We start from the raw sequence: 27899 nt of genomic DNA on the forward strand, positions 1-27899 counted from the left end.
GGAGTGGGGGTGATGCCGGCCCTGGGAGGAACCTGGCCAAGTGAGCTGTCCTTGGTGTGTCTGCAGCCCCAGCTTTGCGCCATGGCCCGGCACATCCCCAGCCCTCTAAGTCAGCGTTTTTAAATGAGTTGACTTAGGTTGATTTTCATCTTCCACCACCATTTATCTCCGGAATTTACATTTCTTAGTGTTTTGTCAGATTCCCTTTCTTATAGCAACAGTCTCCCTACAAAGGAAAAAATCCATAATGACAAATTTCCATTTGTAACCTTGGGACATTCTAAAATCTATATCTGTTGTTTACTTCATATATTTGGAAAGCAGCAGTTTTGTGACTTCTCCACATCTCCCATCAACTCTCCCTCGATTCTCCTTCCTTGACAGTTGTCATTTACGTGCTGAAGCATATTGACTTGAGGAAAACGCCTTCCTTGGAGTTTGGCATGATGATCATTTTTGCTTATCTGCCTTATGGGCTTGCAGAAGGAATCTCACTCTCAGGTAAGTGACAGAGAGCCTGAAAGTGCTGTGGTGATGGCATCTTGTCCTGCCTGGGGAAAGAGGCTTTGTCAGTTGGGTCACTTTTAGTCACAAGAGACAGTCACAACTCAGAAGAGCTTAAGTAATAAAGGAAATCTATTGGTTCCCTAGAAACACATCTGGATTTAGGCCTGCCTGGATCCAGGGGCTCAAACAGTCACATTGGTGTCACGGTCACATTTTCTCTTAACCCGCCTTCTCTCATTTAGCCCATCAGTCCTGTGAGGCTCCCTCAGAGGAGGGTAGCCTTGTAGGAGGGAGGTACTGTGAAGGTCCCTGTTTTACTGATGAGAAAACTGAGGTTGAGTGAGATTAAGTAAATTACTCAAGGTCACAGCTGGGATTGGTGGAACAACGATTCAAACTAGTTGTCTTGGAGTCAAGAACTAGTGCTTAGAACCCTCTAATACAACTCCCTCCAAAACAGATCATCATGAAACCATGTACTCAGTGCTACATAGAGGGACAAGCAAAGTGTGGTGGTGGCGTAATGTTGGGCGTTTATTGGACACACTTTACCAGTATTCAGTTTTTTTATGCTGATACCAGCCCTGTGAAGTAGGTACTAAGAGGTTGTCATTAGCCCAAAGCTGCACTGCACAAGCAGTGGTGGTAGTGAGATTGACAGTGGAGGCCCAGAGCCTTTTCCCTGCACCCCATTGGAGGAGGGCACACAGCTCTCAGCAGCAGAGACGACTCTGATGCGGCCCTAGAAGATGATGCTCACCAGCTGGAGGAGGGGTGGCCAGTCACAGCGTAATGATCTTGGAGCCGTCACCTGGTAATCACTCAGCAGCCCAATCAGGCTTGGCTTAGTTGGGCTTTCTGCCTACAAGTGGCAGTCAAGCTTGCGTCCACAGCTTGTTACGTTGTAAGGATGTTGACCTGAAAATGGAGCGTGACTCACCCCTGTTCCTGTGTGAGGGGGCAGCCAGTTGGGAAGGGCTCTGCCCTGGAAGTCTGATCCCATCCTTTGAGTGAAGGCCCTTCAGAGGCCTTGTTCTGGAAAGGAGGCACTATTGCAGGGATGTTTTGATCTGTGCCACAAGATGGCAGAGATTTTCTTTTTTATTAACTTCGTTGAGGTATAATTTACACACAATACATGGACCCGTTCTAAGTATATAGTTCCATGAATTTTTGCAAATGTGGACAGTCATAACTACCCCCACAGTCGAGGTGTGGCATATTCTTATCGCCCAGTGTGGCTCCCCTGTGCCCTTCTGCAGTCAGTCCACCTGCCTGTCCTGAGCCCTGGCACCCACTGATCCTGCACTGTCATTGTAGTTTAAATGAAATCATGTGGTACGTAGTCTTTTGTGTCTCCTCTCTTTCAGTTACGTTTTTGAGAGACATCCGTGTTTTTGCGTGTGGCAGTAGTTTATCGTTCTTATTGCACCACAGTTTGTCTGTTCATCATTTGAAGGGCATTTGGGGTTTTCCAGATTTGGGCTAAGAACAGTGTGCATGTGTTTTCATTTATCTTGGGTAAATACCTAGGATTAAGGCTGCTAGGTCATATGGTAAGTACATTTTTACTTTTTTAGAAACTGCCTAGTGTTTTTCGAAGTGACTGTATCATTTTACATTCCTCAGAATGTATGAGAGAGTGCCAGTTGCTTCATATTGCCACCACACTTATTTTAATTTAAAAAAGTTTAGCTGTCCTGATAGGTGTGTAGCAACTGCATTTAGATGTGCTTTGGTGTGGTTATTTTTATATTCGCCTTGGGTTCATTGAGTTTTTTGGGTTTATAGTTTATATGAGTTTATAGCTTTCATCAAATTTGGTAAGCTTTTGCCCATTTCTTTATCAATATTTTTTTGTTCCGCCTTCCTCTTCCCCTTGAGACTTCAGTTTACTCCAGTTATGAGAGGTAGCATGCTATTGGCCCACAATATGCTTTGCCTTTTTTTCTTTTTTTCCCTATGTGCTTAATTTTGGTTATTTCCTGTTGCCGTATCTTCAAAGTCACTGATCTTCTGCCATGTGGAATCTCCTGCTAATCCTACCCAGCGTATTTCTCATTTACATATTTTATAATTCATCTACAGCAGATCCCTTTAGGTTATTTTCATTTCTTCCATTTCTCTCTTCATCATGTTCATGTTTTCTTCTATATTCTGGAGCATATGAAACATAGAAATTTCTGATAGCTGTTTTAATGTCCTTGTTTGCTAATTCCGTCATCTCTGTCAACTGTAGGTCTGTTTTGTTGTTGATTTTTCTTGTGCTTATAGGTCACATTTTCTTGCTCTTTGCTTGTTATTAAGTTTTGATTGGATGTCAGTCATTGTGAAGTTTTATGTTGTTGAGCACAAGATTTTATTGTATTCCTTTACGGAGTTCTGGACTTTTCTTTTAAAAACAATTTTTTTTGTGTGTGTGTGTTATTTCTGGACTTTTCTTCTGGCACGTATCTAAGTCTCTTGACATCAGTTTAATCCTTCTTGAGGCTTACATTTAAACTTTTTTAGGGCTGGTGCAGAGTAGCAGGGCCCTAACTAAGGTGTCTCAGGTACCGTGAGCTCACTCCACTCTGGCTGGTGGGAACGCAAACTATTCCCACCCATGTCAGCTTCTGGAATTGTTCAGCCTACTTCTTTTTAATGGTTCTTTCCCCAGCTTCTTGTTTCATCCGACATATTTACTGATCAGTATCAGTCAAAGACTCAAGGGGACTTTACAGTAGATGTCCAAGAGCTCTCTTTCTGTGCAGCTTCCCCGACTCAACAGGACAGCCCTCTTAAAGCCTCAGCCTCAGGCAGTCAGCTCAGCAGGGGGCCTAGGGAAAGAGTGGCCACCTTTGTCTCCCTTCCGGCAGGAATCACAGTCCTACCCTATCTTTTGTCCCATGTCAGAAAATAGTTTTGTTTCATATCTTGTATCAGGTTTTCTAGTTATGTAGAGCAGGACAGTGTTCTGTGTAGCAGTAATTTCTTCAGACGCAAAGCTGAAGGCCCAGTGGTCTCTAGTGACTCAGTTGACAGAACTTTTCTACCCAGTCGCTATCCGGAGTCACACTTGGGTGCTGCATGAGCAGCACAAGGAGGAAGCAGAGTGGACTCACCATTTTCAGGGTTTTGTTTTTCATCGCAGACCAGTTCACCAGGGTAATTCCATCCTGGTGTCTGCCATGAGGTTCCCTTTCTTTACTGAATGTTGGCACTTACAAAAACGTTACCTGTGAGTCATTCGGCTCTAGCCTAGCTATTTTTACATCTGTTTTTCTAAATTGTTCCTCTACCCCCTTGAGAAGATCATTGAGTACCTGTTGGCAAAGATGTGTTTCATGCATCTGTTTGGAATCTGTGATTAAAATAAGGGAGTGTTTTTCTTACCTTCTTTTCAGACTGGCAGTGTTTCCTGTTGAGAGGGGTTTCATTTCCTTAGGGACCTTGCTCCACACACAGCAGTGCAAGCCAGGAACACCAGATCTGCCTCTGGGTGAGGGAACCTGCTCTGTCCGCACTTTGCCTTTTGGGTATTTGTCACGCAGGGTTTTCAGAGAGGGGCAGGATGGCCCTGTGTGGTGTGTGGACGCCCCACATTGCACTGTGAAAGCACAGATGGAAAGGGTGGTTTCTGCTGTCTTCACCTTCCTTTGTGTGCTCCCCTTTTCCTGACTATCACAAAGGACTGATCTCAAGTGGTTCCCAAGACCATGGAGCAGGACATTCTCTTCCTAGGAAGTGGGAATTATTTACCTAAATCCACATGTAGGGAACACAGTTGCTAAGGACTGGGGCTGGATAACAGACAGACTTGGATTTGAATCCCAGCTCCACCTCTTATTGGCTGTGTAACCTCAGATTACAGACTTAACCACCCCATGCTCTACTTCCTCATTATAAAATAGACAAAAGGGCCAGCCTGACGCCTTTGCTGAGGAGTGGGGAGCGATGCAAGTGAGAGTCCTGATGGGGCATCTGTGCCACTGCTGGGGTGGCCAGAAGTCCTGGTTTGCCCTCTGTCTCAATATGATGAATTAATAATATCCCCGTTTATTCTAAAAAATGTCCTGGTATCCACAGCAAATCAAACAGTCTCCCTAATTATAACTCAGCAAGCGTTAGCTATTCTCAGAATATTTGTTCTGACTGTATCCATGTTAACTATTTTTATTGTTCAGTCAAGCCAGTTTTGAGGGCCACTTTGGCCTCTGACACTAAAGATTCAAAGATGAATAGACCCCACTTAGGCAGAGCAGTTAGCGAACACTGGGCTTGCAGGGGATGGGAGAGAGTGACACTCTGTCAAGGTGAGTCACAGAGGAGGGGACTTTGGGCTTGAAGGATGAGTTTGCAAGATTAATCATGAGATAACACTTTCTTTCTTTCTTTCTTTCTTTTTGAGGCAGAGTTTCGCTCTGTAGCCCAGTCTGGAGTGCAGTGGTGCCATCTCGGCTCACTGCGACCTCTGCCTCCCAGGTTCAAGCAATTCTCTGCCTCAGCCTTCCGAGTAGCTGGGATTACAGGTGCCCACCACCACGCCCGACTAATTTTTTTTTTGTATTTTTAGTAGAGACAGGGTTTCACCATCTTGGCCAGGCTGATCTTGAACTCCTGACCTCGTGATCTGTCCGCCTCGGCCTCCCAAAGTGCTGGGATTACAGGCGTGAGCCACCGCGCCCGGCCAACATAACACTTTCTTAAGATGTTGGCATGGGCCAGGCGCAGTGGCTCACACCTATAATCCCAGCACTTTGGGAGGCCAAGGCAGGTGGATCACGAGGTCAAGAGATCAAAACCATTCTGGCTAATATGGTGAAACCCCATCTCTACTAAAAATACAAAATATTATCTGGGCATGGTGGCACGTGCTGGTAGTCCCAGCTACTCGGCAGGCTGAGGCAGGAGAATTGCTTGAACCAGGGAAGCAGAGGTTGCAGTGAGCCGAGATCCTGCCACTGCACTCTAGCCTGGCGACAGAGCAAGACTCCATCTCAAAAAAAAAAATAAAATAAAAATAAAAAGATACTGGCATGAAGTTGGCCAAAGATAGAATGTATGGTGCAGTGCTCTTCTGCACAGATATCTAAGGAATTCCATTGCAGCACTGCTTGGGAGAGAAAAACTGGAAGGAACTATATGTTCATCAGTAATGGAAAAGATCAAATTCCAGTCCATTTGCACTATGGAATCCTGTGCAGCTACTTAAAAAATGAACTTGACCTGTCTGTACTGCCATGGAAAGAATTTGACATATTGTTAAATTTTTTAAAAGTAAGTTGAAAAATCAAACTCTCGCCCATTCAAGAAATACTTATTAAATGTCCACCCTATGCTGAGAACTATCCTTGCTGTTGGGGCTACATTTATAAACAACACAAGATCAGTTTCCTTTTCTTGCAGAAGAAAGCCAGAATTTAAGCAAACCCATACAACAATTCCAGGTGGCAAGAAATGACAAGAAGAGAAATTAAAGCCATGTGACAGAGAGTGGCATGTGGTAGAGAATGGATGGGATCTCAGGCAGTCAGGGAGGTCTCCCCTGGAGGTGGCACTGGAGCCCAGACCTGTGTGGCGAGAGGAGCCAGCCCAGGGACGCTCTAGGGAAGGAGGGTTTTGGCAGCAGGAACTGCAGGAGCCAGGGGTCTGAAGATAGATGTGCGGGAGTGTGGCATGCTCCAGGAAGAGAAGGAAGACCAGTGTGGCCAGGACGCTGCCTCACAGGTTCTGCAGGCCTGAGAAGGAGCTGGGTTTCTAGTATATGCACCACGACAAGAGAGTTGGAAGCCCTTGAAAAAAAATCACTCTGCTGGTAATAGGCACCATATATGTGATAGGATCCTGTTTATTACTTTAGTTTTATTTTATTTTAATTTTATTTTTTGAGACAGGATCATGCTCTGTTACCCAGGCTGGAGTGCAGTGGCACAATCACGTCTCACTGCAGCCTTGACCTCCCCAGGTTTAGGTGATCCTTCCACCTCAGCCTCCTGAGTAGCTGGGACTATAGGCACGTGCTACCACACCCAACTAGTTTTGTATTTTTTGTAGAGCCAGTCTCACTCTGTTGTTCAGGCTGGTCTCAAACTCCTGGGCTCAAGCAATCCACCCACTTTGGCCTCCCAAAGTCCTGGGATTACAAGTGTGAGCCACCATGCCAAGCCTATTACTTTAAAGATAAACTTTATAATCACATGGTAAAAGAACTGGCAGTCTGCATATTGAAGTGTTAATAGTAGTTAAGAGTAGTTACGTCTGAGCGGGCAGTATGAATAGATTGTCTTTTACTCTGTACCTCAGTGAGTCTGAATGTTTTATGGCAAAATATGTTTATTATTGAGTAATTAACACAGCGTACTCATTACGGTTTCACTCAGCCCTCAAGAAGTATGTTATATTTTACATACAGTAAGGCACGGTACAGTGTAAATTGTACCATGATACCTTTTCACTGCCTTTTGGACTTGAATCCCATACTGTCTTCCTTTATTACATCTAGAACAGTGGATGTAACCATAAACAGAAGTGGATTTCCTCTCTCCCTTTCTTTTCTGCCATTCTTCCTTCAGGAGGCTGAACGCTTTTGCTGCATTTGCTTTCTTAAACGATTTTGCCTAATTCTTAAAGGAAATTCTTCCTTAAGCGTATTTTTTCAAATACCATGCCTTTTACCTCACTTAAAAAAGTTATCCTGGTTTGCACCAACCCCCGCTTTTGTGTTTCTGTAGCCTGCTCCACTGGCCGCAGATGAGGGTGATGTGGGTGGTGGAGAGTCCCCTTTGCTTCTGGAGGGCATATGAGGCAGATACTTGAGCCATCCCTCTGGCTTTTGTGCCTGCTGCTGACCCTCTTTCCTTTCGCCTAGAACTCAAGGTGCCCTGACCCCACACTAGCCCAGGGTAAAGCCCTCTGGGATTGTCCAGATGGCCCAGTGCCAACAGTGGGTCAGGTGCACAGGTGGCAGCTGTGGTCCAGTCTCAGCCCCCAGACAGGGCTTACTTATCCATATAGAAAAATCCAAAATGTTTGAATTTGTTGCCATCCTTAAAGATGGAGATTTCCTGTAAGGAAAACCAGAAGGAAGACTGGTCCATGTTAGATCCTCAGTCCCACAGGGCTACTGTCAGCCTTTGTAGACAGGCTGAGCCGAGACTGCGCCTCTAATCCCAGCTGCTTGGGAGGTTGAGACAGGAGAATCGCTTGAACCTGGGAGGCGGAGGTTGCATTGAGCTGAGATGGCACCATTGCACTCCAGCCTGGGTGACAAGAGTGAAACTCCATCTCAAAGGAAAACAACAACAAAAACACTCTTGAGCTTCAAAGAGCCCTAAAGGAGCAGGTAAAGAAGTCTCCTACCCTCTCATTTTCCTTCGCCCACCATGTCAGGTGTGTCTTACAGGAAGCATGGCTGGAATCTCCCTGTAGGGGAAACTGAAGAGCAAAGGCATTTGCTGTTTCCTAAGAGGGTTAGGAGATCAAATGTCCAGCTCCTGCTGTCACTCAGCCAGCCCATACCTGCTGGGGCAATACAAAAAAGTAGGTTTCCTATATTTTGTAGGGTATTGTGTTACAGTAAGCTTAGCAGTTGACAAGTCTGTAATACAGTGCTGTGATTTTCACCCTTTTTTTTTTTTTTACAGTTTTTTGTTTGTTTGTTTGTTTGTTTTTGAGACAGAGTCTTGCTCTGTCACCCAGGCTGGAGTGCAGTGCCGCAATCTCGGCTCACTGCATCCTCCACCCCTCCAGGTTTAAGCAGTTCTCTGCCTCAGCCTCCAGAGTAGCTGGGATTACAGGCGTGTGCCACCATGCCCAGCTAATTTTTTGTATTTTTAGTAGAGACGGGGTTTCACCATCTTGACCAGGCTGGTCTTGAATTCCTGACCTCGTGATTCACCCGCCTCGGCCTCCCAAAGTGCTGGGATTACAGGCATGAGCCACCGCGCCCGGCCGATTTTCACCCTTTTATACGTGGAAAGTTTGCCAGATAGTCACTGTTTCCACAAAATGGCAGAAGTGAATTAAAACTTTGCTTTTAAAGTTTGACTTGGAATTAGTATATCTTGGCAGCTTATTTGATGATTTTTTAAGACAATCTCAGCTTCCTTACATGAAATAGAGACCCCTTTCCTGCTCCCTATGCAGGGAGATGCTGAGAAGAGACCTGTGAGTTCCTCAGGAGTGACTGAGGGCAGCGGACGAATGTCGAGGCTCAAATCCTGTGTAAGCACAGAAGGTTGTACACACCCTCGTGCAGGGCTCTGAAGAAAAGATGCATTACCTTTTTAAATAACAGTAGTTCATGATTATGGGAAAATTCAAAGTTAAGGAAAAGTATTTTAAAAGTCCATCAAAATCCACACATTTAGCTGGGTGCAGTGGCTCACACTTATAATCCCAGCACTTTGGGAGGCCGAGGCAGGTTGGATTGCTTGAGCTCAGGGGTTTGAGACCAGCCTGGGCAACATAGTGAAACCCCATCTCTACAAAAATACAAAAATTAGCTGGGCGTGGTGGTATGTGCCTGTGGTCCCAGCTACTTGGGAGGCTGAGGTGGGAGGATTGCTTGAGCCCAGGAGATGGAGGTTGCAGTGAGCTGATACCACGCCATTGCACTCCAGCCTGGGCGACAACGCGAAACCCTGTCTCCAAAAAAAAAAAAAAAAAAAGAGGCCGGGCATGTTGGCTTACGCCTGTAATCCCAGCACATTGGCACAATCCTGAAGTCAGGAGTTCGAGACCAGCCTGACTAACATGGAGAAACCTCGTCTCTACCAAAAATACAAAAATGAGCTGGGCATGGTGGTGAACACTTGTAATCCCAGCTACTTGGGAGGCCGAAGCAGGAGAATTGCTTGAACCCAGGAGGGGGAGGTTGCAGTGAGTCGATTTCACGCTATTGCACTCCAGCCTGGGCAAAAAGACTGAAACTCCGTCTCAAAAAAAAAAAAAAAAAAAAAAAAGAATCCACACATTCTCCATACACAGATTCTTAGGCTCCTTTCTGCCCCCCAGAGTGGTTTGCTTGCCACCCTTATATAGTCATCCCTCAGCATCTGTGGAGGATCAGCTGTAGGACTCCCCACGTATAGAAAATTCATAGGTGCTCAAGTTCCTTATACAAACGGTGCAGTTGGCCAGGTGCAGTGGCTCACACCTGTAATCCCAGCACTTTGGGAGGCCGAGGTGGGCAGATCACCCGAGGTCAGGAGTTTGAGACCAGCCTGGCCAACATGGTGAAACCTCTTCTCTACTAAAAATACAAAAAATTAGCCAGGCATGGTGATGCGTGCCTGTAGTAGTCCCAGCTACTCAGGAGGCCGAGGCAGGAGGATCACATAAACCTGGGAGGCAGAGGTTGCAGTGAGCCAAGATCGCACGCACTATTGCACTCCAGCCTGGGTGACAAGAGCAAAACTCTGTCCCCCCCCCAAAAAAAAGGGTGGGGGGGTAGTGCAGTGGGCCCTCAATAGCCACAGGTTCCACATCTGCCAACCCTATCCCTGGATGTCAGTGATGGTCCACACCTTTTTATCTTTGGTGCTGTGAAGGGGACTTTACATGGCTTATTTTCACTCACCCTCCTAACAGTTCTGTGAGTGGCTACTATTAGTCCCACTGTACAGAAGCGGAAACTGAGGCTCTGATGGGGGATGTAATGTGGCTCAAGGTCACCCAGCTAGTAATGAGGCTGCCAGAGCGAAGGGACCCATAGTATTTTTTCTGAAGCCTCTGGGAGGCTTCAGGAATTCATTTATTTTCCTTTTTCTTAAACCCTCTAATGCTCTAGGCCCCAGGGCCTTGCAGGCATTGTGAGATCTGAGTTGGGGATCACACGGCAGTGCTTTCTGTTCTGTTCTCTCCCTCTCTAGGCATCATGGCCATCCTTTTCTCAGGCATCGTGATGTCCCACTACACGCACCATAACCTCTCCCCAGTCACCCAGATCCTCATGCAGCAGACCCTCCGCACCGTGGCCTTCTTATGTGGTGAGTTCTGCTTCTGTGTGGCCGTGAGCAGGCCCACCCAGAGCTGATCTTGCTTCCTTATCCTGTTTGAGAAGTCAGTTGAGACTTTCCCTGGCAGCAGGGCAGCAGCTCCTCAGAGCCAGATCCCTCACTCCCTTATCTTTTGTTTGTTCCTCTGGCTTTGAAATTTCATAAAGTAAACCAAACACCTAATAAATGAACATCTGGCGCCTACAATTTAAAGACCAAAAATAGTGAGAACCAATTATGAACATTTGATACATGCATTTTTAATGTATTAATGTGACATTTCCAAAAATGTATTCCTTGGAAATAAAATATTAATGATGGTTTGGTGAAAATGGCTCCATAGTCAAGCAAGGCATGGGGCTCACACCTGTAATCCCAGCTGCTTGGGAGACTGAGAGGATCACTTGAGCCCAGGAGTTCAAGGCTGCAGTGGGCTATGATCTTAAAAAAAAAAAAAAAAAGAAAGAAAGAAAAACAAAGCTTTTGTAGTCAAACAAGAGTTTAGGAAATCCTGGTTAAATAAAGTTTAACATTTATGAATTGCCAGACTTTTCAGCAAATAATGGATTGTCAAATCCTTAACGGGGGATATAGTTATAGAATTTTCCAAACTTGTCCACAGAATCCTTTATTCACAAGAGCAGCCTGAGGGACATCACTCGGGGACAGTTCGCAGTAGAGGTGTCATTTGTTGGGCTGGGATAAACCACGATGGCTTTGTCTTTAAGCAGTTTGTTCAAGTTCTTGTTCCCCCACGCTCCGACATACCCATGTATCTCCCCACCAACTTTATACTTGGAAGTGGTTGGAGTCGGGGAACAGCTCTCACCATGTCCCTTTAAGCTGGCCCCCAAGTGACTTTGCCCTAGCTGTCATCAAAATCACCCCTGGCATTTTGAGGGACTTGTCTCTTTTTTTTTTTGAGATGGAGTCTTGCTGTGTCGCCCAGGCTGGGGTGCAGTGGCGTGATCTCAGCTCACTGCAAGCTCCGCCTCCCGGGTTCATGCCATTCTCCTACCTCAGCCTCCGGAGTAGCTGGGACTATAGGTGCCCGCCACCATGCCTGACTAATTTTGTTTTTTGTATTTTTAGTAGAGACAGGGTTTCACCGTGTTAGCCAGGATGGTCTCGATCTCCTGACCTTGTGATCCACCTGCCTCGGCCTCCCAAAGTGCTGGGATTACAGGCATGAGCCACCGCACCCGGCCACTTGTCTCATTTTTAATTGCTACTTCCACACTGTTAGCGTGCTAGGAGGCAAAGGCAACCCAGGCAGAAACTTCAGCAGATAAGGAGGCTCAGGTGAGGAGTAGTCACATGACTTGCCCATGGTCTCATGGCCAAGAAGTGGGTATGCAGGCCAGGTCTCTTTATTCCTGGGCCAGAGGGTATTATTTGTACAGCACCTCTCTCAGAAAGCCAGGCTACAGATTCTGACCCTGAGCCTCCCAGTTAAAGACACATAAAGCAAATCGTCCATCCAAAAAGATTCTATTTTGTACCCAGCAGTTTGGCAAATGTTAAGTTTGATAATACCCACTTCTGGCCTTGGCGTGTGGAAAACAGGCCTACTGGAATCTTTTCTGGAGAGTCATTTGCCACGTCTGTCTGAATTTAAAAGGCACGTGCTCTTTGGCCCAACAGTCCAACCCTGTGGAATTTAGCCCATACTGGGGTGTTTGTTGAACCTCTCAGAAATAAAAACAGTCTAAATATCCATCCATAGAGGATTGGGCATTAGAAAAATTGTCGAATTTTGACAATTTGTCAAATGTGACAGAAAAACTGTCAAATTTCTCTGCAAATAAACATTATCCCGCCAAGGGAAGATGATAAACACAATTCTGCCTGTTTACTGAACACCTTCATTAGCAAGGGTCCCAACTGTGGCAAAGTGGCAGAAATTCAGAGCAAATGGATACCGTGATGTATCCAGATCCTGGAGTTGATGCTGCCAGGGAAAAGCATCCACTAGATCTGAATGTCTTCTAAATGTGCTCATTTGGAAAGATCACACAAATATTAGATAAGAAAAAAATTTCAGAGAGAGAAGGGGGGGTAAATTCTCCAGCTTGTGGACTTGTTTTAAACTTGGGTACCATTCAAAGGAAAAACATTGTTAGAATGTAAAACAGCCTTGCTGTTTGTGATCAACTATTTTAAAATACAGTTTTAGGCCAGGCGCGGTGGCTTATGCTTGTAATCCCAGCACTTTGAGGGGGGCCAAGGTGTGCGGATCACAAGGTCAGGAGTTTGAGACCAGCCTGGCCAACACAGTGAAACCCTGTCTCTACTGAAAAAAAAAAAAAAAAAAATAGCTGGGCGTGGTGGCGAGCGCCTGTAATCCCAGCTGCTTGGGAGGCTGAGGCAGGAGAATTGCTTGAACCCAGGAGGCGGAGGTTGCAGTGAGCCGAGATCGTGCCACTACATTCCAGCTTGGGAGACAGAGTGAGACTCTGTCTCTAAAAAAATATATATACAGTTTTAATCTCTTTAGTCATTATGCTGTTCTGAGGGCCATCACAGTTTAAGCAGAGAGCCTAGTGTTAGAAATTTATAAGGTGCTTTTTCTTAATATATACAAGTTTGTGTGACAGAGAGTAAATATTGGGCTCTTTTTGGCTCGCAGAGTGGAGCCAGGAGTTAGCAATGAGTCTCACTCTGCAAATCCTGCTGGGTGTGAGCTGTGTTCTAAACCTTGTGGCAGTGTTAAATATATTAAGCTAATCATGTGGAAGTTAACCAGAGGCCCCTTCACATTTGTCATGTGGCGTCTGCAGTCATTTGCTCTGAATTTTTGCCACTTTGCCGCAGTTGGGGCCCTTGCTAATGACAGTGTTCAGCAGATTGACAGATTCTTGTGTTTATCATCTTCCCTGGGTGGGATCGTGTTTATTTGCAGAAGTATTTGACAGTTGACTCATTACATTAAGAGATTTCTGAATACCAGGGACATGTAGCTTATGTAATAGAAAAGAATGAGAGAATTTAAGCACAAGTTTGACCAAGATATTGGCTGCAGGATTTTCAAGAAAATAAGGAAAGTGTTGTATTGGATTCTGACTGTGAATGTTTGCTTGCTTAATAGTTTAGTACCATATTGGAATGAAATCATTGGGGTTGAATAATCCATTCTTTGGTTTGTTTCAGAAACATGTGTGTTTGCATTTCTTGGCCTGTCCATTTTTAGTTTTCCTCACAAGTTTGAAATTTCCTTTGTCATCTGGTGCATAGTAAGTATTTTCCTTTTTTTTTTTAAATTTAATTACTTATTTGTAGATCAATAAACACATGTTCCGGATTCATTTATGTAACTGTTAACTGTTCAAAGTCAACAGCTACATAGACACTCTTTTGTTTAAAGTTTCTTTTGTTAAAAAAAAAAAATCACAAACATACAGTAAGGGGGCAGGGGTAGAATTAAGTGAATAAATATCCCCAGAAAGGACTTTTGCTTGTTTTTTAAGATTTTTAATGGCCTTGAATATTATGGTCTTTAAATAAAAGTACAGGTTTGTAAGTTTTTGTGTGAGGAGGTAAAAGCAGATTTCAAAATTGAATATGTAATTGATCATAACCATGTAAAAATATTATGCACAGAAAAAAGAAAATATGTAAAGAAAATATAGCCACATGTTCACAGTGGTCATAGAGTTGGGATTTCTTTCTCTTTTCTGCTTTTTCTGGATAATTTATTATGTACTTCTTACTGCAGTTTTCTTCAAATTTGTCTATTTATATTTGTCTATTTGTCTGTTTATAAGATATTGTTCCTGCAACCTGGGTACTTCCATCTCTCAGTCAGCAAGAGCTCATTGCTCTTGGTCACTGTTATTTGTCCTCCAAACTCAGGTTTCAGGGCAAGAGAGAAGCAGCAAAAGTCCTTTACAGAAAGTATAATAGCCTAGGCTGGGCGCGGTGGCTCACACCTGTAATCTCAGCACTTTGGGAGGCCGAGGCTGGCGGATCATGAGGTCAGGAGTTTGAGACCAGCCTGGCAAACATGGTGAAACCCCATCTCTACTAAAAATACAAAATTAGCCGGGCGTGGTGATATGCGCCTGTAATTCCAGCTACTCAGGAGGCTGAGGCAGGAGAATCGCTTGAACCCGGGAGGCGGAGGTTGCAGTGCAGTGAGCTGAGATCATGCCATTTGCACCCCAGCCTGGGCAAAAAGAGCGAAAGTCCATCTCAAAAAAAAAAAGTATAATAGCCTTTAGTGTGGCCACTGGGGAAAAGGGACACATTTGATCAAACCTGAAACAAGTGTAGGCATGGAAGATTGGATTTCAGTGGGTGAAACAGGGAGGTGACTATTTCAGCCACAGGTTGGGAGGAAAATGAAAGGATGCCCTGGGGTGACAACTCAGTTTTCTCTAAGCAGTTAGGCCCAGGCTGGCCCTGCAGCTAGTGGAGATGGCCTATTCAGGTGGGTTACAGTTCCTGCCCTGTAAACTCAATTTAGTGGTCAAGAGCATGGGCTTTGGGGTCTGAACCAGATTTGAGACTTGGATCCATTACTTCCTGCCTTGTCAACTTGGACCAATTACTTCATCTCTCTATACCTCAGTTTCCTTGTCTATAAACTGGAGACAACAATACCTACTTTGTAAGACCTTTGCAAGGATTTAAATTTAGCAGGATAATGCATGTAAAATGATTAGCATGTTGTCTGGCATAGAAATGTTTGATGATTGGAAACATTTACTCTTGGCCAGGCATGGTGGCTCACGCCTATAATCCCAGCACTTTGGGAGGCTGAGGCGGGTGGATCACTTGAGGTCAGCAGTTTGAGACCAGCCTGGCCAACTTGGCGAAACCCCGTCTCTACTAAAAATACAAAAATTAGCCGGGCATGGTAGCACACGCCTGTAATCCCAGCTACTAGGGAGGCTGAGGCAGGACAATTGCTTGAACCCGGGAGGCAGAGGTTGCAGTGAGCCAAGATCACGCCACAGCACTCCATCTCAAAAAAAAAAAAAACTCTCAAATTCATGCTTGTTAAAGGAATAAACTTAAAGCCTAAAGAATGTACTGTACATGTCTATATCATCCTTTTCAAGTAGTTATGGTGAGAACCAAGATGAAGAAAATGAAAGTAAAGTAATAAATGTCCTAAGAATCCACTTAGATAAGATTTAAACTTTAGGCTGGGTGCAGTGGCTCACACCTGTAATCCTAGCACTTTGGGAGGCAAAGGCAGGAGGATTGCTTGAGACCAGGAGTTTGAGACCAGCCTGGGCAACATAGCAAGACCTCATCTTTAACTAAAAAATTTTAAAAAGTAGCCAGGCATGGTGGTGCATACCTGTAGTTCTAGCTACTTGGGAGGTTAAGGTGGGAGGATCACTGGAGCCCAGGAGGTTGAGGTTGCATTGAGCCACAATCACACCACTGCACTCCAGCATGCGAGACAGAGTGAGACTTTGTCTCAAAAAAAAAAAAAAAAGATGTAAACTTTACATAAAGCTGTACTTTGCCAAGACTAACATGCCTTTGGAGATGGAGAGGAACCAAAAGCCACAGCAAGCAGCTGGCAGGCTAAGCCGGGGCATGTGGCCTCCTGATAGTCCCTACCTCTGCGTTCCTCTTGCTCAGAGAGCAGTGTTTCCATGCATGGGAGGTCCTTCATAGCTGCCCTCCTTTCCCTGAGGGAGAGGCAGAAACACCTTGTCTGTCCCCCTAGTCCTGGTATGATCAATGCAGCCCTGTCCCAAGGAGGGGCACCTTGGGAGTCAGGTTGCCCTTAAACTAATCTGTGAATACTTCTGTACAGCCTCTTGGCATTCAGTTTTGTTCTGCTGTCATTACTAAAGCCCTTCCTGATACCTCGTCCGTCCTCTCTTTTCTGGCTACTAAGAAAGGTAACGTACAAAGCTTTATCCTTTCCTAGATGCATAGAATCCCGCAGCTGTGGCAGCACGCCCATGCTGGGTCTCTGACGAGCATGGTGTTGCTCGTGTCTTTTGTGGCTGAGGGGAATACTGCATTTGTACTGGATGTGTTACACAGTCTGCATTAGCTTCATCCAAGAAGCTTCAGCTTGAAGAGCCAGATGTTTTCACCTAAGACTTAGTTTGTTGCTATCAACAGGTGCTTGTACTATTTGGCAGAGCGGTAAACATTTTCCCTCTTTCCTACCTCCTGAATTTCTTCCGGGATCATAAAATCACACCGAAGATGATGTTCATCATGTGGTTTAGTGGTAAGTCAAATCTTGGATAAATGGGGTGGGGAAGTACCTGTTAAAAGCACGCCCCATACAGGGAGAGCTGTGGTTCTCTGCTAGCGCCCTTGGCAAAACCACAAGTAATCAATACTCCCGTTTAATGGCACCCACTGCAATCAAGATGGTGCCCCTCACCATGGTGCTATGAAGTGGGTGAGGCTTGGTTGGAAGAGGGCAAACAACATGCCCAGGGTCACGTGACCACTGGAGGCAGAGCCGGGATTTCTGCCACTCTCTTCTGAACACCATAGTGCAGTCCGGGATGCAGCTGGGCGTGCTTCAGCGCCTCCCTGGGGGTCTTCTAGGCTGAAGTAATAATGGTCTCAAGGTAGAAAAGGTGAAAGTTGAAACTGTTTCATACCTTATGTTAGTTTTGGATATTTTTCCTTTTAGTCACAAAGTTCTAGTAGTTTAATTTGAATGTTTCAGTTGCTATTTAATCACTTTTTAAAGGACGGAAATGATTTCATACATCTTTGCTTCTAAAGAACTGGATCCATAGGCATCCTTAAATTTATTTTTGAGCAATACATACTGTTCTTTATGCTTTCTTGCTTAAATATTATAATCAAAGTATTTTCCGTGTGGGTTGGGTTATAGCAACACACTATAATGTTCTCTATCCAAAGGCATATCTGCAAGTTTGTCTCAGATTTCTCTTCTTTCAAAAGGCCATGTTTAAAAATGTATATGTTTCATATATATGTACGTATGTGTATATATACATATACATTTATATGTGGTGAGAAAAACTCATTTTTTTCCTAATCTCTTTTGCCAGTGAGGCAAACTACTTTGTAAATGGTTGCAGAAGTGTGTCAGAGGTTTTTGAAGTGATGTGGGCTATTTGGGAAGGGGGGCATGAGGATAAGAGAGCGTTATGGGGAAGGTTGGAGTGTATTTGAAATGGCGGGGGCTGTCGGCTCCTGTTCTCTCCCAGGCTCCCCGGGCTCTTGCTCTGTGGGTTTCCATCCAGGCTTTCCTGGATCCTCAACGAGGGGCACTGAACAAGCCTCTGCTACCGGCCCCTCCCATCATCATTTAAGCAATCAGAGCTTCTCCTCCTTCCCACAAAACACCAGCAACTTCAGCCAGAGTTCCTCCTCATGTCCCCCGCAGCTGTGTCCGCACCTCTTTTGCCATGGCCAGACCCTTGCGAGTGAGCCGTGCTCGCTCATTTTCTCCACTTCTTCACCGCCTGTCCACGGGGCTGGAATTGGCCTTGGCAGGTCACCAGTGACCTCCCGCAGCCAGACCTGGAGGGGAGGCGTCCGCCCCCGTCCTAGCCTACCTCCTTCCCACTGCCCCTACCTTCTGGCGAGGACCACTTCACTCTCTTCCCCGGCCTCTGGGCCATGCTCCTCCTTTCTCTCCTTTGACGTCTCCTTGGGCTCGTCCCCCTTCGCTGACCCCTCAAATAGTGGCTTCTTCAGGACTTGGCCCCAGCCCCACTTCTGTTCACGTGTTCTGCACTTCACTGAGTGCGCTCACCCGTCCACTGGCCTTCACTTCCACCTAGTCCCAAAGCTGTTCCCGCGAACCCAGACCTCCCTCTGGGATCCGTACTCCTGTTTCCAGCTGCCTGTTTGGATGCCGTGGGGATGCTGTCATCCCTATGCCTTTGCATCCCCCTTGCCCAAGAAATCCTACTTTGAATTGCCCGGTGGCCTGGCTAGCCGGTACTAAGCACTTGCTGGGTACACACCCTGTTAAAGCACATTACATGTCCCGTGTCACTGAATCCTCTGGCCCGTGACAGGTTTAGAGAGGCTGAGAGTCCCTTGTCCTCACCATGTCTCTGTATTATGTGCCCTTTGCTCTTGCCCTGCCGTCTCCCCATCTGGGTCTGGCCTGCAGCAGCCTGGCTGCCCTACCCCATGGTGATGTGAGCCTCCCCGCTTTCCTGTCTGGGGAAGGTCCTGGTGCTGTCTGCACCATGCCCCCCCCCACCCCCCACCCCCCTCCCCCCACCATCTCTTCCAGGTAGCATTTCACACCCCTTATTTGCTGTGCCTCCTCCCAGCTGCTCTAGGAGCTCCCCAAGGGTGGGGCTAGGACTGCCTGTCCCCTCCGTATGGCACCAAGGAAGCCAGGAAACTTCTAACAGAGGAATGTGCTGTTTTCCAGCTCAGTCCATGCCCCTCAGTTGTGCCCTAGTAGCGTCACAGAGGACCAGCCAGCCTGTCATTACCACCTAAGCAGCCCACAGCCCCATCAGTGCCACCAGGGGCCTCCACAGGGACAGCATCTCGAGATAGGAGGGGTACTGGACACATTGCATCTTGTGCTGTTGTGGGTATTAGTTGAGTGGCCCTGGGCGGGCCATGCTGCTCTTGGCCTCCATCCCTCATCTGTGTGTTGTGGACAAGAGTAGCGCTGCTCGGTGAGGATTCCTGTGAAGATCCAGTGATGCTCTGCACACTGAGCACCTGCCCAGGCCTGGCGCACACACAGGGAGGGCTCAGCCCACAGCAGCTGTCCTGCAGTTTCCAAGACACGAGCATCAGGCTTGCTAAGTCCTCCCGCACCCGCATCTGGGGCTCTGTAGCTGGGGCAGGCCATCTCATTTGATCTGCCAATGTTGGAATGGAGGTGAGTCTGTGGTCCCATCTCTGCCACCTGCTCTTTACACCCCAAAGCCTCACAGGGTGAGCACACACTCTTCAGCAGGGCCATTAGAATAGTCAGCTGGTCGTGGTGCTGGGCCGGCTGGATTTCCAGGGAAGCCAGCCCATGAAGCTGCTGCCTCTTCACTGTGTCCTCTCACACTGTTTGCTGTCACCCAGGCCTGCGGGGAGCCATCCCCTATGCCCTGAGCCTACACCTGGACCTGGAGCCCATGGAGAAGCGGCAGCTCATCGGCACCACCACCATCGTCATCGTGCTCTTCACCATCCTGCTGCTGGGCGGCAGCACCATGCCCCTCATTCGCCTCATGGACATCGAGGACGCCAAGGCACACCGCAGGAACAAGAAGGACGTCAACCTCAGCAAGACTGAGAAGATGGTTAGTACCATGCGCCTGTGGGGGTGGGGCAGGGGGCTGGCCTGCTACGCAGCTGGTGGTCCCCACTGTCAGGAAATGGGGAGATGAGCCTTGCTTTCTTGCTTTGAGGATGCCCAGCACCTCCACACACACGACACACACACACACACACACACACACACACACACACACACACGACACACACACACACACGACACACACACACACGACACACACACACACGACACACACACACACACACACACACACACACACACACACACACACACACCCCCCGGTCATCCCCCCTGAGAAGGAGGTGACGGAACTTGAGTTCTGAAGCATGGCTCTTGGGGTGGGGGTGTCTGGTGGCCTTGTGACCTGCCGCAGCCATGGGGGCTGTGGACGACCCCATCTGCTCCCTCTCTGAAGCTCCATGGGGCACCACAGGAGTCTGGACCTGTGCCACAACCACAGCAGTGCCTCTGCCCTGCCAGCAGCTGAGACACCTGTCAGGGCCCAGGTTTGAGGGTTTCAAAATCCTGTCATTCCCCAGTATGGTTTTACTAAAAACCACCTGTTGGGGGCCTGAGGAGGGGAGGATGTCTTGCGGTGGCTGTGAGGGCCGTGAGAGGGGTACTCCCCCAAGGACAGACATGGTGTGGGGCTGGAGGTACCCAGGCCCCAGCTGTAGGGAGAGCTGAGGTTCTGCAGCCTGCCCACCTCTTCTTCCTACAAGCCACCGCCCCTGCCACCAGGCTGCCTTCCCGCCCTGTCTTCACCCTCAGGACCCCTGTGCAAAGCTAGGCCCTCTGACCGAAGCAGAGGCTGCTGTAGGCTCCAGCCCAGAGCATCCCCTGCTGATCACCATGCATTTCTGGACATGCATCTCTTTCTAGTTCCCGTATTCTAGGCCTCAGTAACTTTAATCAGTCATCAGAGGCCCAGGAGTCCTCACGTGGCCATCCACGGCTAACACTGGAGTCAGGGCTGGCAAGACCATGGCCTCCAATCTCCATGCTCAGCTGGGCCCCTCACCCAGTGCAGTGCTGCTGGGAGGAAACTTCCAGATGGCTGTGAGGCCTGGCTCTGCAGAACTTCCACCACACTAAGAGGCCCTTTGCCCCCACCCCCTATCTACCAACTTTTTTGTTTTTCACAAAAGCTCTAGCTTAGGCCTTTCTGGGTATCAGAATCGGTGGGGGGCTTGCTACACACAGGCTGCTGGGTCTCACACCAGCATCTCATAGGTATGGTATGGGGTCCGAAAGAATTTGTGTTTCTTCTTATTTATTTTTGAGACAGGGTCTCACTCTATTGCACAGGCTGAAGTGCAGTGGCGTGATCGTGGCCCACTGCAGCCCAGACCTCTTGGGCTCAAGCGATCCTCCCACCTCAGCCTCTGGAGTAGTTGGGACTCCAGACAGGCGTGACCCCACCCAGTTAATTTTTTCTTATTTTTAGTAGAGATGGGGTCTCACCATGTGGTCCAGGCTAAGAATTTGCGTTTCTAACAAGTTGCCAGGTGGTGCTGCTGCAGCTGATCCTGTGAACACGCTTGGCGAAGCACAGCACTAGCAGAAACAGGACAGCTCCTCTGAGGATGAACCGCTGAGTTTCTGGAATGTTTTCTGTGGCAGTCAGTGTGCTTGCGTTTTCCTTGGATGATCTCAGATTGTCCCCATAGCCTGCCAGAAACTGGCGCTTTCATTATACCCACTTTGCAGATGAGAATGCCGAGGCACCAAGAGAATCAGACAGCTGTGGGCACAGACTCCCGAGCCTGTCCTCTTTACTACCACGCTGATCAGCAGTCCTCAAAATGGGCTCCCCAGACTAGCAGCATCACTGGAAACCTGTTAGATCTGCAGATTCCCAAGCCCATTCAGACCTACTGAATTAGCACCTCTGCAGGTGGCTGCGGTGGGCTCAGTATTTTGTGGTTTCACAGGCCCCCCAGGTAGATTCTAATACAGACCAGTGTTTGACAACCACTGCTTCACAGCATCTAAATGCCCTCCCCTCCCCGGCCATCCTCTGCCCTCCCTGCACCTGCCCCGTCCCCCTCCCCACCACCTGCAGTGAAGCTGCAGAGCACACTTCACTGTGGCCCCACTGAGACTCCTCCAGCAGAGCAGGCGCTGCACTCAGAGCCTGTCTGCTTTGCTCCTACCTATGACCCGAGTCCCGCCTCTTTACCTCCGTCTCTCCCCTCCACATGGGGTCCTTTTCTTCGTCCCTCCCCAATTCCTACAGGATGTGTTCCTCTCCCCTCTCCTCTCTTGACTTGATTGGCAAAAGCCTGTCCACGGTGGAGTCCTAGCTAATAGAGCCACAGGCAAAGAGACAAAAAGCCTCCCTGTGCGATTTGCTGCTAATGAAAAGCCCAGAACAGCAGTTCTGGTCCTGGTTGCATGATAGAATCACCCAAAAGCTTGAAAAGCTTAAAGACCAAGCCCCAGCCTGGCCCAGTCCTTCTGTTTTAGCTGTCCTAGGTGGGGTCCTGGGCATCCATTGTGCCCTGATGGACGTTCCTGCCTCCCTGCAGGCTCCCAGGAGGCCGTCTGCTGCCCGTCACCCTGCATTGATGGTCAAGTGGAGTTAGGGTTGGGGACACTGGCGGCCTGGGTGGTGTGGGGGCTTCCAGGAGGTGCCCCCCGATGGTGCCAGCTGGTGGCCGTCGGGCCGCCTTTCCTCCCTGCTCAGGGCAACACTGTGGAGTCGGAGCACCTGTCGGAGCTCACGGAGGAGGAGTACGAGGCCCACTACATCAGGCGGCAGGACCTTAAGGGCTTCGTGTGGCTGGACGCCAAGTACCTGAACCCCTTCTTCACTCGGAGGCTGACGCAGGAGGTGGGATACCGGCCAGGCCACACTTTCTGGGGGTCCCTTGCCTGCCTCCTTCAGGACCTGCGGTGGCCCAGGGTGGGGTGGAGGAAGAGTGGGGAGGCAGGAAAGCTCACGTGGGCCCGCCAGGCCGCCGCCTCCCGATCTGGAGGCTGGACGTGCTTGTGGAACTCGGCATCTGCTGTTTTTCCTTCGCTGCCACATTTAGTGCGAGGTTAATAATAGATTTGTTAACACAGTTTGGTTTTCCTGGATGATAGACTCGGGGTATTGATCAGCTACTGAATCGGAGCTGAGGAATTTCAGACATACCAGGGCCTCAAGCTGTGGCCCAAGTCTGCCCCCAGCTCAGGGCTCTGGTTCTGTCCCTCGGGGCACTGCTGGCCTCTCTTTAGTTGGAGGCCTTGGGTAGGGGTGGGGCTCTTCCTGCTGCTGCCCGCTTTGTTTCCGAGCAGGCCCATTTTCCACTCTCCGGCAGGCCTGAGAGCTGCCGGTGTGTGCGCTCTTCCAGGAGCCAGGCAGCTCCAGTGACTGTGACCACGACCGCTTCCTTCTCCAGCATCCTGTGCAGTGGATGCAGCTGTGTCCCTGACAGCTGAGGAGATGGAGGCCTAAGGGGGTGCAGTAACCCCGCAAGGTCACAGCCAATATGGGCATAACTGGGAGCAGAGCTAACTGTGTCTGACTCCAGAGACCACATGTTCAGCCTCAAGCCATGCTCCCTCCTCCTTTCTGAATGACACCTCCCGTGACCTCCACCCCCACAAAGAACAATCCCAGCTCAGTTTGTTCAACTGAAACTGAAGTTGCCTGTGGCCATCACCCTGCCTCCCACCTCCTCCCTAGACACCCCACACAAAACACCCAGTAGCATCCCCTCCCTTCCATGGCCCTGCCCCTGACGCCCTGACGGCTTGGTTGTGTCTCTCGACCCAGGACCTGCACCACGGGCGCATCCAGATGAAAACTCTCACCAACAAGTGGTACGAGGAGGTACGCCAGGGCCCCTCCGGCTCCGAGGACGACGAGCAGGAGCTGCTCTGACGCCAGGTGCCAAGGCTTCAGGCAGGCAGGCCCAGGATGGGCGTTTGCTGCGCACAGACACTCAGCAGGGGCCTCGCAGAGATGCGTGCATCCAGCAGCCCCTTCAAGACATAAGAGGGCGGGGCGAGGTACTGGCTGCAGAGTCGCCTTAGTCCAGAACCTGACAGGCCTCTGGAGCCAGGCGACTTCTTGGGAAACTGTCATCTCCCGACTCCTCCCTGAGCCAGCCTCCGCTCAGTGTGGCTCCTCAGCCCACAGAGGGGAGGGAGCATGGGGCCAGGTGCCAGTCATCTGTGAAGCTAGGGCGCCTACCCCCCCACCCGGAGGACCCCTGCGGCCCCCTGCCTAGAGGAGCACCATCTACAGTTGTGCCATTCCCCAGCCACTGCCTTCATGCTGCCCCCGCCGGACTGGCAGAGCCAGGGGTCAGCCACCTGCCTTTGAGTCATCAAGATGCCTCTGCAGCCACAATTCTGACCTAAGTGGCAGGGCCCAGAAATCCTGAAAACCTCCCGCTGCCTTTTGTGATACTTCCTGTGCTCCCTCAGAGAGAAACGGAGTGACCTTTTGTCCTTTACCTGATTGGCACTTCGCAGTCTATCTCCCTGGGTAGCAGACGGCTGCTGCCCTTCTCTGGGCATGTTCTGAATGTTTACACTGGTACCTTCTGGTATCTTCTTTAGAGCCCCCTGCAAGCTGCAACTCTAGGCTTTTATCTTGCGGGGTCAGAGCGCCCTCTAGAGGGAAAAGCTAGAGGCACAGGGTTTCTGCCGGCCCACAACTGCTGTCTTGATTTGCATTTTACAGCAAAGTGCTGAGAGCCTCTAGTCGCCTCCTGCCATCTGATCTCCCTCCCCACCATTCCCGTACTCAGTTGTTCTTTTGTCTAATCGGAGGCCACTGTGCTGAGGCCCTGCAGTGTCTGCTCACTGCTGCCATCTTCGCTGCTAGTCAGGGTTCCATCCTCTTTCCCCTCTCCCAGTTCCCTACCACGTTGGATCCCATTCGTCACCCATGCTAGGGTCCCCAAAGCACTGGGGCAGGGGCCAGAGCAGCAGCACCCAGTGCTCCCTCCTCTACTCTGACCTGGGGCCCCAGCATCCTGGAGCACACGCTCCACGCACACACACCCCAGCCCTGTCCCAGGGGCCTGGCCCCCTCAGCCATCTCAGGGTGAGGAGCTGCCAGTCATGTCCAGATGGAATGACTCCCATCCTCTCCTCATCTCCCCTTTGACGAGCCTCAAACTGCTCAGCTCATCAAAGAGCCATTGCCAACTTCCGTATGTGGTTCTGGGTCCCAGGGAGCCTTGGAACCTGGCACCCTGGGGTGGTTTAATTCATCATTAAGAAGCATTCCTGCTTCTCAAGGGACACAGTGGCCTGCATGGGCCAGCATGGACCCTGGGCTGATCATGTGCATTCCTGCTTCTCTGGGGACACAGTGGGCCCACATGGGCCAGCATGGACCCTGGGCTAGAGCAAGCACATCTCCATCTCTTCCACCTCAGGCAGTGTGGCTCCAGATGTCAGGAGGGACTGACCTCAGGACCTTCCAGGTTCCTCTGTGCCAGGAATGAGAGGCCAGGCCCGATCCTACCACCTCGCCTTGACCCTGAAGTCAGAGCAGGCCAGCCAAGCAGGAAGCACACTGTTTACTTTTTGCATGAAAAGTAAATGTGTACTTGATAGAGCTAAAATATGATCTTTTTTAATTTCTCAACCCCATAATTTGAGCCATTGCCTTGCTTAATTTTGGTTTCCACCATTTCCTTTTAGTGGAGAAGAGAGGAAGTCAGAGGGTAGGGACCTTTGCCTGCCCCTGGGCGAGTGCGGGCAGGGATCTGAGACCAGATTGTTCTCGCACCCCTGCCAGAACTCACTCTCCCCTGAAGTTTAGGGTCCCATCTCCCAGATGTAAGTTGTTTTGCAAACTCAGTTTGCCAGGATTTCTTTCTTTCCTAATCTTAAATTCACAGATAAAGCAATGAAAAGAGTCAGATCCCATTTCCGTCTGCCCCCTCGTCACCAGGTGTGATAGCCCCAGCCAGGTCACACCTGGCCTCACACTTTGAGCTGAGACTTGAAAACGATGCTGTGGCGGAAGAGCATGTGGGGCTTGGTGGAGGGGCCCCAGGATTTGTTGGGGGCAAAGGGGGTGGCGGGACCGTTCCCAGGAGGTACCAGCACCTGCCTCGATCTCCTCTGAGCCTCTTCTGCCCCCTGTCGGCCAGGTGAGGTCAGCAGCCTGGGAGAGTGCCCCCAAGAGATGAGGGCACCCCGTGTTCCTTGGCAATCTTGGCTCACCTTGGTAACAAAAGGCCATAGAAGTCTGTTTTTCTGGGTCAGTTTTTTTTGCCTGAGAATAACAAATTGCTGCTGTCTACCTTTAGCACACCCAATAATTCTATTTGGGGCAGTGAATGCATAGAAGATATAAAAATACGCAGCTTAACTATATCTTCCTGCGTGTGTATTTATTTTCTTCTGGGTCTAGGCCATGGTACAGGAGAACTGTGGCGTGTAGGAGGAATACTTCAGGATGAGTGAAGGCTGGAGCCAGGGAGCGCTGGAGGAAACCAGCCCTTTAGCCAGCAGCCCCTCCACCACAGGCACTGCTGTGTGGAACGAGTTCTTGGAATGAATCCCATGCTTTCTGCAGCCTGTAGTTGTTATGACCCCTCGGAACAACCACCCCGTGGCTTGTGTGGGGTCTCGCAGGGAAAAGGGCTGGCTTCTAGGTCCCCGAGATAAGTGTGCAGGGGGATGGGCCAGGGCCAGGCTAAGGGTGGCTCAGTTCCATCATCTGGAGGTCAGACACACTGTCCAGAGGCAGAACTGAAGCCCTCTCGGCCCCTACCCTAAGCCAGCCACCCCTCTTCACAGTGGGTGAGCTGGGCTGGGCTGGCTGGCATGAGGCCAAGGGGTAGGCCTGAGCGCCAGAGTCGCCCAGGTTAGCCCACAGGATTCCTTTGTGTGCCATGGAATGCTGAAAGATGGGTGACTGGGGACCCTTCTTAAAACCTTTGGCAAAGGTGCCATCGGCAGGGCTTGGCCTCATGAAGTCTCAGGTCCGTGTTCCCGCAGGGCGCACATGCTTGGAGAGTCCTCAGCAGGGTAGCCGAGGCCAGGCCACTTCTGCTGAGGATGGGGCAGGCTGGGGTGTGGGTGTGGCCTGGGGTGGCTCAGGGCTGGAACTGCTGCCTGATTCCTGTGTGGGGAGAAGCTCAGTGGCCGTTTGCTGCCACTGACAAGGATTTCACATGCAGAAGAGAAAAGGCCCCCCTCCACCCCCCGCATTCCCTGCCGAGTGAGAGCCAGTGTTTGCTGCCCTTGCTGGGGGCGGGTAGGAAACCCTGAGCTTCCTGATGCGGAGTCATGAAGCAGAGTCCTCGGGAAGGCATCTCCACAGCCCCGGGTCCTCTGTCTAACGCCCTCCATTTCACGCCCTCCATCTCACAGTCAAGATAAAGGCCTCGAGAATAAAGAGCCAGCCCCCTTCCATTTAGTCTCCTGCCGTTTCCCAAACAGTTGTCCAACAGTTAGACATTGAGGGGCTTCACTGTTACCAGGCATGTAACAGAAGGAGGAAGACTAACACACACCCCCTGCCCCATCCCATCCCCCTCTCCCGAGCTATTTTCTTGCTGTGGCCTCTGGTGCCCTTGAGTTGGTCTCCCCGGCTGCTCTGCGGGGGCTTCACTGGCTTCGGAGTGAGCGCGAAGTGCTGGTGAGCAGTGGGCCTGTGATTGGATGGGAAGATGTGCATCCGTGGTCAAAAGTCAGCTGCCAGCCCTGCGGAACCAGAGCCTCAGGCTGGGATGGGGAGGCCTCCCTGCTTCCACCTGCATGGTGGGCATGGCCTGGCTTACACCAAAGGCTTTGACGGTTTCTCCAAGTAAGGATCTGCAAATCTTGAATCGTCCTCAAAATGACGAAGCTTGAATTGTCCTCAAGATGGATGTGAATCTTACATTCCTTTTCATCATTTCCTTTGTAAAAATGACGAGTGCTGGGTTTTTGTTTTAAGAAGCATTATGAAGGCCAGACTTACTCATTTTTCTCCCCCAAGTGAGCTGCAAGAGGCCCCTGTTAGGCCCCTGTTTCCTGAGCAGTGATGTGCTGCTCTTCTTGGTGGGGCTTTGGGCTGGGAGGGGAAGGCGGGTCAGAGATGGGGGACCTGTGGCTGCCATGCAGGAGCCCCTGCGTCATCTCGTTGGACTCTTTAAGGGAGTCAGGAATAGATGTATGAACAGTCGTGTCACTGGATGCCTATTTAGAAATAAAGTGTATGCTGCTGAATTGGA

At 49.4% G+C, this 27899-nt stretch overlaps 1 protein-coding gene across 17 annotated transcripts in view, besides 6 other annotated features; it reads left to right on the forward strand.

The window, feature by feature from the left end:
- SLC9A8 (solute carrier family 9 member A8) overlaps nt 1-27899 on the forward strand; it is a 79415-nt gene extending 51516 nt beyond the window's left edge. For 10 of the 17 annotated variants that reach the window (NR_048537.2, NR_048538.2, XM_011528736.3 and 7 more), the window contains 7 exons: nt 396-501; nt 10362-10478; nt 13638-13720; nt 16581-16692; nt 19503-19723; nt 22409-22555; nt 23486-27899. Coding sequence is in view for 13 of the 17 variants with exons in the window: in XM_011528736.3 (XP_011527038.1) it covers nt 396-501; nt 10362-10478; nt 13638-13720; nt 16581-16692; nt 19503-19723; nt 22409-22555; nt 23486-23593 (894 nt within the window). In the remaining 4 variants the exon portion in view is untranslated. The other 7 variants (XM_011528738.3, XM_011528741.3, XM_047440071.1 and 4 more) reach the window with 5 other exon arrangements.
- Nucleotides 3407-3516: an enhancer, noted in NCBI's record as "active region_18075". NCBI's record gives its function as "activates an Ori minimal core promoter by ATAC-STARR-seq in GM12878 lymphoblastoid cells {active_cell/tissue: GM12878}" and the evidence as "EXISTENCE:reporter gene assay evidence [ECO:0000049][PMID:35858748]".
- Nucleotides 3757-3806: an enhancer, noted in NCBI's record as "active region_18076". NCBI's record gives its function as "activates an Ori minimal core promoter by ATAC-STARR-seq in GM12878 lymphoblastoid cells {active_cell/tissue: GM12878}" and the evidence as "EXISTENCE:reporter gene assay evidence [ECO:0000049][PMID:35858748]".
- Nucleotides 23725-24536: an enhancer, noted in NCBI's record as "H3K27ac-H3K4me1 hESC enhancer chr20:48504605-48505416 (GRCh37/hg19 assembly coordinates)". NCBI's record gives its function as "activates a minimal SCP1, AML or CMV promoter by ChIP-STARR-seq in primed H9 embryonic stem cells {active_cell/tissue: H9 hESC(primed)}" and the evidence as "EXISTENCE:reporter gene assay evidence [ECO:0000049][PMID:30033119]".
- Nucleotides 24225-24344: a silencer, noted in NCBI's record as "silent region_13005". NCBI's record gives its function as "represses an Ori minimal core promoter by ATAC-STARR-seq in GM12878 lymphoblastoid cells {active_cell/tissue: GM12878}" and the evidence as "EXISTENCE:reporter gene assay evidence [ECO:0000049][PMID:35858748]".
- Nucleotides 24537-25348: an enhancer, noted in NCBI's record as "H3K27ac-H3K4me1 hESC enhancer chr20:48505417-48506228 (GRCh37/hg19 assembly coordinates)". NCBI's record gives its function as "activates a minimal SCP1, AML or CMV promoter by ChIP-STARR-seq in primed H9 embryonic stem cells {active_cell/tissue: H9 hESC(primed)}" and the evidence as "EXISTENCE:reporter gene assay evidence [ECO:0000049][PMID:30033119]".
- Nucleotides 26423-26592: an enhancer, noted in NCBI's record as "experimental_60689 CRE fragment used in MPRA reporter constructs". NCBI's record gives its function as "activates a minimal promoter by MPRAs in K562 erythroleukemia cells, with activity observed for the introgressed 20:48507388 variant allele {active_cell/tissue: K562}" and the evidence as "EXISTENCE:reporter gene assay evidence [ECO:0000049][PMID:34662402]".

This window comes from Homo sapiens, chromosome 20 (assembly GCF_000001405.40).
Source record: "Homo sapiens chromosome 20, GRCh38.p14 Primary Assembly".
Lineage (NCBI taxonomy): Eukaryota > Metazoa > Chordata > Mammalia > Primates > Hominidae > Homo > Homo sapiens.